Here is a 14,070-nt window from a genome sequence, read left to right on the forward strand (position 1 = left end):
CTTGCTCAAAATCACACTCCCGTCAAGCCAAGATGGCACCAGGTCTCTATGACTTTGAAACCAACATTCTTTCAACAGACTATTGCTGCTATAGTGCTGCATAGGCTGCTCAGTTGATTCTCTCTCTCTCTTTTTCACACACACACACACACACACACACACACACACACACAAACACACACCACTACTTAGTGAGACTTTCTCACTTGACAGAAATAAAATGGAAGACTCAGAAAGGAGAAAGAAGACCATAAGGCTGGTTGGTGGTAGTACTAAAATTGGAACCCAGCTGTCTACCTGAGCTCTTTCTTGTCTACCTGTCTCTCACCTATGATATATATAAATCCAAGCTGATTTCCCAGAAATCTAACCTGGAATGACTCTGTTTCCTCAATGGTTAGTTTTTTCTTATTCCAAGAATCCTAAGGCTGAGGAGAGGAGACAGAAACACTCCAATGCTGCTGAAGCAGAAGGAAAAGGGGAAGCAGAGCCCAGGGACTACAGTTCTGGCTCCAGCTCTTTAACCATCTGAACACCTGGGGAGGCACTCAGCCCCATGTGGTTCATCCCTTGTCTAAAAGTCAGGAAGAGAGAACATTCTTACCTACTTATGGGGTTGTTAGAGAGGTCAAATGAGGTGATAAATGGGTAAGTGCTTTGCAAATTCTGAAGCGCTATTGGGACTGTAACATTCCACAAGCTCAGGATCATATAAGAGTAACCCTATAAGAACAGTAAACACATTCTGTGCCCCCAACCCGTTATATTGGCCCATGTGAATTAAGCGAAACTATGGTGTATATTTTAATTGTGTCTGCTACACTCGCCTCTCCTTTTATTGCCATAGAGTTTATTTTAATATCTGTAGCACTTCTTAGACCAGGAGCAGGTGCAGCCTGTGAAAATGAGGGTAATAATCACCCCTTTCTATAGTGGGTAGAAGTGAAAGAATATGAATATGTCCAGTTTCCTATGCTTCAGAGGGACAATTGTGAAGCATACTCTACAAGATTCTTCAGTGAGTATGTGTAGGGTTGAACCACAGCTACTCACCTCAGTTTCCAACTTAACACCATAATCTTTCTTGACTGTTCCTTTTCTGTTGTCTCAATTATTGTCTCCCTATCTCTGTTTCATGGGATCTCTATCTGTGACAGTTAATTTTATATGTCAACTTGACTGGATAATGGGGTGCCCAGCTGTTTGGTTAAGCATGATTTCTCATTGTGTCTGTGAGGATTGTAAACCAAAAAGTATCTCAGACAGGTCTCAATCAATTCAGAGGTTTATTTTATCAAGATTAAAGGCCATGGCCCATGACTCAGCCTCAGTAAGTCCTGAGAACATGTGCCCATGGTGGCTGGGTTACAGATTGATATTTCACATTTTAGGGAGACAGAAGTTACAGGCAAAGAGACAAACCAACACATGTAAGGTATACATTGACTTGGCTCAGAAAGATAGAACATCTCAAAGGGGAGGGTTGGGGTGAGGGGTGGCTTCCAAGCCATAGGTGGGCTCAGAGATTTTCTAATTGGCAAGTGGTTGAAAGAGTTAAACTTTGCCTGAAGAGTTGAAGTCAGCTTGAGTTAAGATAAGCGGGAGTTGTAGAAGCTAAGGTTCTTGTTATGTATATGAAGCCCATAGGTAGCAGACTTCAGAGATAATAGATGCTTAATGGTTCTTATGGGACCTTGAAAGGTATCAGACTCTCCAGAAAAGACCTAGTAGGAGAAGATTCTCCACAGAATGCAATTTTCTCACTCAAGAGACAGCTGTATTAGTCTCTTCTCACATTGCCATAAAAAAACTACCTGAGACTGGGTAATTTACCAAAAAAAAAAAAAAAAGAGGTTTAATTGGCTCACATTCCACAGGCTGTACAGGAGGCATGGCTGGGTAGGCCTCAGGAGACTTACCATCATGGCAGAAGGGCAAAGGGGAAGCAAGCACATCTTCACATGGCAGCAGGAGAGAGAGAGAGAGAGTAAAGGAGGAAGTGCTATACACCTTCAAACAGCCAGATCTCATGAGAACTTCCTCACTATCATGAGAACAGCAAGGGGAAAATCAAACTCTTTGGTCCAATCACTTCCCACCAGGTTCCTTCCCCAACACTGGGGATTACAGTTCAACATGAGAGTTGGGTGGGGAGCCAAATCATAATAACAGCTTTGCTGGGGCATCACAAAATAAGTAAAAATAATATATTTGGGGTTAAACATTCTGATTTCCTTCAGAGCTTGCTATCTGTAATGTAATGCTGTACCAGAGTCAGTTTGGAAATGGGTGTCTTATTGCTACAGTCTGTTTTTCAGTCTTAACATGTTTTAATGTTAATGCTGGTCAGTTGTGTCTAAATTCCAAAGGGAGGAGGGAATAATGAGGTGTGTCTGACCTCCTCTTCTCTTCATGGCCTGAATTAGTTTTTCAGGTTTCATTGGGATCCCCTTGGCCAAGAAGGGTTCTGTTTAGTCAGTTGGGGGTTTAAAATTTTATTCTTGGTATACAGCCTGTTTCTGGATAACATTAATATTTGAATTAGAAGACTGAGTAAAGCAAATTTCTGTCTCCCCATGTGAGTATACCTTATCTAAACTTGTCTAACCCATTGAATGCCTAAATAGAATAAAAGGCTGAGTAAGACAAAATTTCCCTCTCTGCCTGATTCACCTGGGGTATAGTTATTCTCCTGCCTTTCGACTCTAACTCAGACTGAAACTACCCAGTTAGCTCTTCTGATTCTCAGGCTTTTAGACTTGGACTGGAACTACACCATTTGCTTTTCTGTGTCTCCAGCTTGCTGACTGCAGATCTTGGAATTCTCAGCCTCTGTCATCACATAAACCAAGCCATTAACTAAGACATATGAGTTGATGTTAAGCCCCTTATATTCTATCATCTTTGATTTCTTTTGTTTTAGGAAAAATTTTCATAACTTGTACCATGTGCTAGGCACTATAGTGGAGGATGCTGGAATATGACAGGCTTCTCCCCTTAAAGCCCTTGAAGACTAGAAAGGAAGACAGACATAGAAATAGACAATTGCGTACAGTGTAGTGAGGGCCACAGAAAAGGCAAATCTCCTTGGTCTCTGCAGCAGTGTCCATAACTGGATTCAGCTCCCATTATTAAATTTCTGGTCATGCTTCCTCAGCACAATCCCCCTCCCCCAGGCTTGGCACAGACTTCCAGCCAAGACATCTTTCCTAATGATATTTCTGGGCTCTTACACTGACGCAATGACAGCTGTGAAGAATGCTTCATCCCAGAAAGGTCAGGGAACAGCGTAATCCACAGACTAGCAGCCACTTTGCACAAAGCCCATTGCCGAAACACAGATTTTAACCTTTTGGATTTCTCTAAAGTTGGCTTCAGTTTCTGCACCCTGCCCAAGGCTGGCAGTGCTGAGGGAAAGGCGAAAATGGGAATTATGATGGGGCGGTCCCAATAACAGACTTCTTATCCTGTCCTGCCAACCTCTGCAAATGTTGCACTGGGTGCTTTGGACCTGTGTTTATTGGACAACGAATGTCTGATTAAAAGTGGCAATGCTGCAGCTCACACTACAACAAATGCATAAAAGTGAAGCATGGATATGCTAACCAGTGTCTTCCTTCATGCTGTGGGAACAGACAAAAGGATTCAGCTAGGGACCTAACCTGTCTAGGCAGACAAATCACTTTTCTTTTGGCTCTTCCACAAGTGAGTGTTAAATGACTGCTCTGAGGCAGACACTTCAATGGGCACTGAGCATGTGAAGGTAATGAGACTAAATCCACTTTCCTGGGGCTCCCATAGTCTGCTGAAGAAGTTGGATGCAACATCAGGTTGCAGGGCACCATGGCGTTCCTCTGTGAACAGCCTCTTAGGAAGGGACTGGGTCAAATGGTTTAGAGAAGAAGGTTTAGGTTTAGGTGTATCCACATTTGAATTCCAGTTTCAACACGTACTAGCTTCTCAGTGTAGACAGTGATTTCACCTCACTGAGCTTTAATCCTTCATCTGACAATGGGACAGCAGTGTGTTTACACAGTATGGTTATGGGATGATCTGTGGAAAGAGCTGGCACATGGTGTATCCAAGAGGAGGGGCATGTTGCTATCTCCATTTTGTACCTCCACCCTCCCTGCCCAAGGGTCCTGAGCTGCCCTCTCTGTGCTGCTCCTCTGCATCATAGCCACATCTGAGACTCTGTTTTGCCCTCAGCATTTCAGATTGTGACTGTCAACAGAAATTAAGTCATTTAACCCTCTAAGTCTCAGTTTCTCATCGGCAAAATGGAAATAAATAATCGTATTGAATTGCTATGAATGCTTAATAAGGCAATGGTTGAGAGAGTACTTTGTAAACTATGAAGCCCCCTAAATAGTTGTTCATTACCTATGTGAAGAGGCCCTCAGGAGGGAAGTAAAAGTGCTGAGGGAATTTTCCTGGGTTATAGGTGCAGCTGCTCCCTCTGGTCTGAGTTTTGTATTTTAGGGTTATATTGCATATGTTTTATTTTAAAAGATGTATTATTTTTTCATAATATGAAAGCAATGCATCCTTATAGTATTGCATTTAAAAACAGTTTATTGCAGCACTACTCACAATAGCAAAGATATGGAATCAACCTAAATGCCCATCAAGGATAGACTGGATAAAGGAAATATGGTACATATACACCGTAGAATGCTATGCAACCATAAGAAAGAATGAGATCATGTCCTTTACAGGGTCATAGATGGAGCTGGAGGCCATTATCCTTAGCAAACTAACATAGGAACAGAAAACCAAATACCACATGTTCTCATTTATAAGTGGGAGCTAAATGATGAGAACACATGGACACATAGAGGGGAACAACCCACACTGAGGCCTATTGAAGGGTGGAGGCTGGGAAGAGGGAGAGGATCAGGAAAAATAACTAATGGGTACTAGGCTTAATACCTGGGTGATAAAATAATCTGTACAACAAACCCCGTGAACCAAGTTCACCTATGTAACAAACCTGCACATGTATCCCTGAACTTAAAAGTTAAAAAGAGAAAAAAAGAAAAGTTAAGAAAACCAAAGCCTTCTTTTATTCCACTCTACTCATCACATCCTGATAACAGCTTTGTGTATTTCTTTCCATAAGCACTGTATGTTTGGGTTTGATCTGTCTTGGTTATCAGGTTGAATAGTGCTCTATTGGCCTGATTTAGAAAGCCCTGAAACCAGATGAGAGAGAACAGGAGAGAGAAGAGTGAAGTCAATGAAAGGAAGTGGGTAAACAGACAGCTCCTGGTCTTCAGTAAAGTGTAACTAATACTTATGTTTGAGATGTTTGAGCCCTTAATCTGAATATTAAAGGAGAAAGCACCAAGGAGGTGAGTGGTATGTCCTCCCTCCTGATAAAGAAGGTCCCTCGTCTACATGTTGCATCATCTGTTGTTATCTGGGCTCTGGGATGACACAGCTCGTCTCAGCATCAAAAAGTTGAAATGGTGCCTTTAGATTCTTTGTGCATGTCCTGCTTCTATAGTGGAGCAGACACTATTCTGCATTTCTGTGTCTTTCTGCAGGAAATGCTTCTTCACAAGCACACACACACACACATGCACACACACACACACACACCACACACACATGTTTATTCCTGAAAATAAAATAGATAATCCATGGCCTGAAGGAGCAATGTGGATCTTTGCACCAACGTCCACACTGTCCCACCCCACCCTGTTTCCCTACTCAGGAAGCCCACCCTGCTCTTGAGATATAAATAACCGACTACCCAAACAGTGAGAGAAGAAAGAGAAGATGGTGATTCTAGAGAAAATTCAAAATGGCACTTGCATCAAGCAGCAAGAAAAATAGTCACAGGAGTCACAGAAGAAACCATGCTGTTTCCTGCTAAGAGTGCTGAGGGTATGGAGAGTAAATCGGCAACTGTTGATGGAGTAATAATGGCAGCATCTTCTAGGAACAGGTGGTGGCTCACAGTCGCCATGGAGGGGCCCCTGAAACCACCCCCAACCAACACACATACACATACGTGAGCTTCTACTTTCCATCTTCTCTTCAGAGTGAGAGATTAGGATGCTGCACATAATCCACAAAGGAATGAGCTGCATGTGGTGTTGACCTTGACATGTTAGTCACCCATTGTCTCTGTTAATTCAATCTTTCTCTGTACCTGTATTGTCCTGTTTCTATCTGTTCCTGTTACCCCAGTGTGAGAGAGGAGGGATGAGCAGGTATGTTCTGTGCAACACATATTCCTGATATAGTAATATCAGATAATATGAGAGTTTCTGAAGCTACTTGCCTTGGAAGCGATCAGCAGGCAAGCCCAAAGAAGTAGTTCCATCTATTGCAAGCAAGGCTGGGATTCCCTGGACTACAGCAGATGACCACACTTTTGATTGTTATCTTTAAAAAACAATAACAACCACAGTTTGGAATTCTTCTCTCTTTGGAAGGCTAACTTCTTATAGTATGAGGAATAACCACTGCAGGGTATGACTAGGCATAGATTCTGGGCTAATGCTGCTACTGAGTTAAATGTGGAAACAAGTGACCCATTCGTATATCAAGACATTCAGGAAAGCAAGTGAGTTATGGAAAATATTTGTCTTTGAGTGAATGGGTTTAATATGCATATTTCTAAAGTCCCCCAAATCCACCCCCAACTTGCCTCCTCATGAGTGTTCAGGAATGACCCCTCACAGTGTTCAGTGTTGGGCCCAGCATCATCTTACCACCCTACAGCGTCTACTGCTGATGTCCATTGTGGGACTCTATCCTGCTGAACACAGCTATTCTGCCCTGGTGATCACTGTTTTATCTCTACCCAGCCCTGGGGAAGAGGGTGAGAGCTCTAATATGTCCACTCATAAAAATATACAGAAGTGACTTCATCTTCCTGGGTCTTTGCCTTCGCATCCTCCACGCTAAAATACAGAAAATACCAATGAGTGGCATTTATTGAACATTCATTCTGTACAGGCTCTTTCCCAAGCATTTGCAAGTATTAACTCATTTAATCCTTTTCTTAGAGTTGTGGTAAAGATTAAGTGAATCAATACATGTAAGTGCTTAGGACATTGCACAGAATACAGTAAATGCTCGTTTTCTGCTATGACTGCTACTCTAACTACTATAACTTCTTTTGTGGTTTTTGTATTAGCTTACTAGAGATGGCATAACAAAGTACCACAGATGGGGTAGCTTAAAAAACACATGTTCATTTTCTCACAGTTCTGGAGGCTGAAAGGTCCTGGATAGGGATGTTGGTAGGGTTGATTTCTTCTAAGGCCTCTCTGCTTGTAGATGGCTACCCTCTCCTTCCTGTGTCTTTACAGGATCTTCCCTCTGTCTGTGCCCAAATTATATCTTCTTATAAGAACACCAGTCATATGGTGTTAGGGCCCCCCCAATGACCTCATATTAATTTAATTACCTCTTTAAAGGCACCATTTCCAAATATGGTAACATTCTGAGGTGATGGAATTTAGGGCTTCAACACAGCAATTTTGTGAGGACACAATTCAGCTCTTAACAGATGCAGTATATGCCTTTGCCATAAGTTCCTACTGTGAGACTCTAGAGATGACTTTACATTGAGATTGCAATGAAAGTTGAGATGGCAAATGATAGATAAAGAAAGGGAATATAGAAAATGATTTAAAATTTAACATGGACCAGGCACAGTGGCTCACGCCTGTAATCCCAGCACTTTGGGAGGCCGAGGCGGGCAGATCACCTGAGGTCAGGAGTTTGAGGCCAGCCTGGCCAACATGGCAAAACCTTGCGTCTACTAAAAATACAAAAAAATTAACCGGGTATGGTGGCAGGTATCTGCAATTCCAGCTTCTCAGGAGGTCGAGGCAAGAGAATCGCTTGAACCCAGAAGGTGGAGGTTGCAGTGAGCTGAGATTGCGCCACTGCACTCCAGCCTGAGTGACAGAGCAGGGACTCCATCTCAAAAAAAAAACCAAAAACCAAAAAACAAAACAACAACAAAAAAACTTAAAACGACTTAAAAACCATGTAGCTATGTTTAACATCCCCAGACCACCTTGAGGAGGTCCCTAAAGACTGACTCCATTTCATCCCTGCAGCCTATTACCTTCTTATCTTTTGTCTTCTAGTTAGTTGGTACTAATATACGTCCATGAGGCTGCAGAGAAAAAGAAAAAATACTGTTTTCTCATAGTATCTTATAGTCATCTTCCCCAGTTGTGATTCTTCAGCTCAGACAATACAACTTCCCAGAATGATGAAGAGGATGAGTGTCCATTTCCTTCAAGAAAAATCCATCTGGATTTTATTCTTTGGCCCCAACAATGCTATCCTAGTAAAACTTAGATCATTCTGAATTATTCTTTAATTCAACATAACTATCAATGTGAAACATACTTCTACATGTAGTTCATATTCCATTCCTATCTTTGGAAAATTGTTTTATATTACTATTTTTTATTTTCTGCATCTGAGTTCTTTTTCTTCAAACCTGTTTTCCTGTTCCTAAAAATGTTTTCAGTCATGCTATTTAACTTTTTTTAGTATTGCTCTTGTTGCTTCAAATGTGGCTGACATTTTTTGCAGCAGTTTTATATTTCTCGTTCACTTTTAAATATCTATTCTCTCTCACTCTTTAACCTCCTTCTATTGCACTGTCAGTTTCGTTTTCCTTAAATCTCTAAGATGTATTCTTTGGGATATTCTTTTTTAAGGAAACTGTTTTCAAATGATTCTGGTGACTGATTCTTTGCTGTTTTCTGGAGTAATTCTGAGAAGTTTCAGATGTATTATTTTGCTTACATTCCTTTCATCAATATTATTATTATTTTAATTTCATATTTGATACATACGCTCTTAGCCACTTATTTTCTATTACATGTGTTTGAAACGTGTAGAGATCAGTTTCTTCTGAGCCAGTTATTTGCTCTCAGCAAGTGGGAAAGCTGGCAGAAGGCAAAGGGCTGAGAAAGTCAACAGCTTACATTTTGATTAATGGTCTCAGCCATTATTCAAACAATGCCCTTTGGCCTGAGGGCATGTGTTTCCCCAGTTTGAACATTCAAAAGTTTTTAGAGCTCACGGTGAAGTTCTGGAAGTCACAGTTTTTCTCTGTTATCTGATTTTCTACCCTCTTCCAGATTGTCTCTAGGTGGCTACTTCAACAATACTATTGCTAATGAAGTTGGCATGTTTTCTGGCTTCCTTCTGCTTCATTTCCCAAGCTTCTCTGTGGTCTCTTCTATCCATTCAGCCTTCTTATACATCTTCATCTTGTATGCTAATGAAAAGATAATTGGAGGGGTCTTTCCACACTATGGCATTTATTTCAGAGAAATTTACCCCTACCCATATGCTTGAAAAGTCTCCCATTGTCCCCCATTTTCACATGCTTTCTTTCAGGTATCATTTATAGTTTGTTATCTGTAGCTGTGGTTAGTGTATTGTGCTATTAAACAGGAGATGATATTCTCATTTTTTATTTTTTTAAATTATTTTGTCGAGTGTCAAGGGAGGAAAGTGGCCACAGATGTCTTTAATTCACCGTATTTAATTAGCCCAACCAGTCATTCTTACACATAATTCCTTTGTTTTAAAATAACATGACTCTCAAATAAGTTTATTTCTATTGAGGTGTTTATGTAATGCCACATTTCTTCCCATCAAGGCACTTAGTCTATTCAAAATGAGTGGCTTCATAAATGATAATACTAGACATGAAAAATCAATGGCCATGTCTATTTAGAGGAACATGAAGAGAAGGTGCTATTTTTTCCTCAGTCTTTCATGGTATAATGAAAACTATAAGCTTAAAGAAAGCAGGAGCTTTCTTTTTTTTATTTGCCATAAAACCAGTCCTTAAGTTAATGCATGGGACATAGTAAGTTCTTCATAAATTTATGTTGAATTTGTGAATTACATCCATGCCTATAGGTCTTTACTGACATCTTAGCTCTACATTGACTGCAAACAACTTCTCAAAGAAAAAACAACAAATACAGTACTACAATGTACAAGAGAAATTATAAGATTAGATTAATCTAAAATCACACACACACACACACACACACACACACGCACGCACACACACACAAATAAGCTTTTGGTCCAAAGAAGCAACTTGGTTTCCGAAGTCTGAGTTCTGCAAAACAAAGAAATAGTTTGGTCCAAGGTTCAACTTAATTTATGTCCAATCAGAGAACAGATAGTGCTTACCACTTTTAGGTAATACATTTTTTCAGCTTTTATTTCCATTAATATTAAAGAAAAAACTTGCAGAATACGTACCTTATCACAAGCATTTTTAAAGCAAATAACTGGCCGGGTGCGGTGCCTCATGCCTGTAATCCCAGCACTTTGGGAGGCCAAGGCAGGTGGATCACAAGGTCAGGAGTTTCGGACCTGCCTGGCCAATATGGTGAAACCCCGTCTCTACTAAAAATATAAAGATTAGCGGGCGTGATGGCGGGCGGCTGTAGTCCCAGCTACTTGGGAGGCTGAGGCAGGAGAATAGCTTGTACCAGGGAGGCGGAGGTTGCAGTGAGCCGAGATGGCGCCACTGCACTCCAGCCTGGGCAACAAGAGTTGAAACTCTGTCTCAAAACAAACAAACAAACACCACAAATAACTGTTGGAGTTGCAGTCAACATAGGTTCTGATGATTGGGGGAATAGTAAATAAACCATGTATGCTATGAACCATGGAATACTGTATAGCACTTAGAAGCAACATGCTGGAGATGTTCATAGCAACATGACTACATTTTCAAAACGTAGTGCCCGGTAAGAAAATGGAAAAAAGAGCCGGACCCGGTGGCTCACGCCTGTAATCCCAGCCCTTTGGGAGGCTGAGGTGGGAGGATCACCTGGGGTTAGGAGTTTGAGACCAGCCTGGCCAACATGATGAGACCCTGTCTCTACTAAAAATGCAGAAGTTAGCTGGGCATGGTGGCACACACCTGTAGTCGCAGTTACTTGGGAGGCTGAGGCAGGATAATTGCTTGAACCCAGGAGACAAAGGTTGCAGTAAGCCAAGATCACACCATTGCACTTCAGCCTGGGCGACAGAGCGAGACTCTGTCAAAAAAAAAAAAAAAAAAGGAAAAGAAAATGGAAAAAAGAACAAAATAAGATCTATAGCTCACTATCATATAATGTAAGTAAAATGTTAAACATATAGAACAACAACAATATCCACCACAATCTGTAAGAACCCATACACATGAAAGGACAGAAGTAAAATAAGACTAGAATGGTTGGTTTTGTAAAAGGAGGAGATAAGAATGGACAATGATGCTCAGCAAACTAACACAGGAACAGAAAACCAAACACTACATGTTCTCACTCATAAGTGGGAGTTGAACAATAAGAACACACGGACACAGGGAGGGAAACATCACACACTGGGGCCTGTTAGGGTGTGGGGGGGCAAGGGGAGGGAGAGCAATAGGACAAATACCTAATGAATGTGGGGCTTAAAACCTAGATGACGGGTTGATGGGTGCAGCAAACCACCATGGCACATGTATACCTATGTAACCAATCTGCACTTTCTGCACATGTATCCCAGAACCTAAAGTAAAAAAAAAAATGGAGAATGATAAAATGTAATAAATAAATAAATACAGCCAGATTGTATTTATCAATGGAATCAACAATAATCTGGGGAGTATGACAAATTCAACGTAATGCAATGTGAGGTTAAAAATACATAAATTAATAGGATGCAGGAAGGTATATTATGAAAACTAACAGGATCAGAGGCTGCAAAGAAAGGACCTACAATATTTCATAGGAAATGTGATACAGAGGATGATGGAGAATGAAGGGTAAAAATAACCTCAACAATTACACCTGCAGAGGTGTATAAAAAGAAAAACAACTTCCAAGTTATTCTTCTATTCACCAAGTGTTGTTATACATTAGAAAGAACTACATGGATGTCTATATTGTTCCAAACAAATCTGAAATACTAGGTTTGTAAACTGTGACCTGTGTGGGCAGAAGTACAAATACAGTAACGTAGGGGAGTAGATATCAGGAGTATCAGCTTTATCTCTCGGGACGCTAAGGCAAGACTGCAGCCTTGAGGGAGAGGAGGAAAAGCAGAGAAAGCTATCCAGAGCAGGGGTATCTAGGGACCCAGTCACAGATAATAAAGTGAAAGATAAGGAAGGGCTTACCATGGGAGCCAGGTAGTGGGGTTGCGGTTTCACAATATTCATAGACCCAAAGACAGGCAGGAAGTGGGGTCTTTGTTTCTTTTCCACATTTCTTTCTAGGGATAAAAATTCTATTGAATGTAGTAAAATATTATTTTTTGTTTAAATATTTATTATGAGAGTAATATTTGTTTATTACGTGACATTTTAAAAGTAAAGAAATGCAGAGAGAAGAAAAAACTGTTCATAATCCAATGAACTACCATTATCATTTCAATATGTATTTTTTTTTCTGGTCTTTTCCAGGTATAAAGCTACTTTACAAAGTTATAAAATATGCTTGCATGCTATTTTTTTCTGATTTAACATGATAATTTCAGCATTTTGTCAAATAACAATACACTTTTCACAAACATCTATTTTACAATCTAAATAACATTGCATTGAAGTACATAAACAAAATTTACATAACTCTTCTCATTTTATTGTCTTAGGATATTTTTTCTCATAATATAAACTAATGACTCTTCTCTGTACTTAGAGATTTATTTTTTCCATATTTCATAATATTTCCTTAGGAGAGATTTCCAGAAGTAAAATTGTTAAGAACAAAGATGATAAACATTTTAAGGATATTGACATATGTAGTAAAGTTACTTCTAAGAAAGGCTGGGCCAGTGTATACCATCACCAGCAGAGGATGTAGGTGCCTGAGGACACGTTTGAGCAGTTGCTATATTAGGTCAGAAATTCCCAATCTTTTTTGTTTGTAAAAAATCATATGAGCAGCTTGTTAAACCCCAGGTTTCAGACACAACTCATATACAACCTGATTCAGTATATCTCATGTTTGCAGCTTTAACAAGTAACCCAATGTGACTAACGTAAGAATTACAAAGAATACATGTTAAAAATTCCATTTTGAGATATTACTGGGGAGCCTTTTATGTAGGATTTGTTTCTATAGCTAATGAGATGTTATGAATCCAGAAATCCCCTGTTTTCAATAAAACATGTAAACTTTAAGATTCAGATCACTCTACCTTGTGTTTTACCCTGAACCTGCACGGTTAATTTTTCCTGGATGAGCCCAAATCACATAGCTCTTAATTAAATGCTGATTTCATGAACATAATGTAGAATTTTAAAAAATTGTTACATTACTAGCTAAGCAAAAATGCTAGTGAAAGTTTGCCAAGGGCCAACATTTTTTGGTAGGAGAAAAAATATCCATAGAAGAAAAAGAAATGACACTTGAAGCATCTGGGACTTCAACATGTTCTGCATCTTGGAGCCACTTCTCTCCAAATATGTCTCCCTGTCTCCTCTCCTGGCCCTATTTAATAACAATACACAGGGGTTCCAGGAGTGACTAGGGTACCTGTGTCTAGTGACCTATGTGAGTCTTCCTCCTGTACAGCAGAACAGTTTATTTTCTTCCATTTTCTTAGCAAAGTCGCCCACTTAGGGTCCTTACCAGTTGCTAGTGGTTGGGAGCTGTCTATGGTCCTGTCTGGATTGAAGCTGGCATACAGAGAAGAAGAAGCAGGATTAGGAAATGGAGAAGCAGCTCTAAAGGTATTTAAGTCCTTTGTTCTGGATTTTTCTTATATCCATCTGTTTTCTTGTCTTTCCATCAGCTTAGAGCTATTCTATGGGGTACCCTAATATCAATAAATAATTTCTTTTTAATTTATAAGCTTATTAGAGTTGGGTTTTTATGACTTGCAGGTGGGATACTTTTAATTCACTCATCAACACAGTCACACTTGCTTCCAGAGCCTGTTGGCCACACTACTGGGCTTTATGGAAAATGAGAGTAGAGGGTGTTTGGGGTGAAAGTGGGTGTTTGCTGTTGTTAGTAAGCCCTGTGACAGAGTGGAAAGTGCTAAGTTTTTTTGAGTCATACAGGTAGGGATTAA

General features: G+C 40.1%; 2 annotated features.

Annotated features, from left to right (window-relative positions):
* Positions 1,276-1,922: an enhancer, noted in NCBI's record as "OCT4-NANOG hESC enhancer chr4:14404596-14405242 (GRCh37/hg19 assembly coordinates)". NCBI's record gives its function as "activates a minimal SCP1, AML or CMV promoter by ChIP-STARR-seq in naive H9 embryonic stem cells {active_cell/tissue: H9 hESC(naive)}" and the evidence as "EXISTENCE:reporter gene assay evidence [ECO:0000049][PMID:30033119]".
* Positions 8,754-9,303: an enhancer, noted in NCBI's record as "NANOG hESC enhancer chr4:14412074-14412623 (GRCh37/hg19 assembly coordinates)". NCBI's record gives its function as "activates a minimal SCP1, AML or CMV promoter by ChIP-STARR-seq in naive H9 embryonic stem cells {active_cell/tissue: H9 hESC(naive)}" and the evidence as "EXISTENCE:reporter gene assay evidence [ECO:0000049][PMID:30033119]".

Source organism: Homo sapiens, chromosome 4 (genome assembly GCF_000001405.40).
Source record: "Homo sapiens chromosome 4, GRCh38.p14 Primary Assembly".
Lineage (NCBI taxonomy): Eukaryota > Metazoa > Chordata > Mammalia > Primates > Hominidae > Homo > Homo sapiens.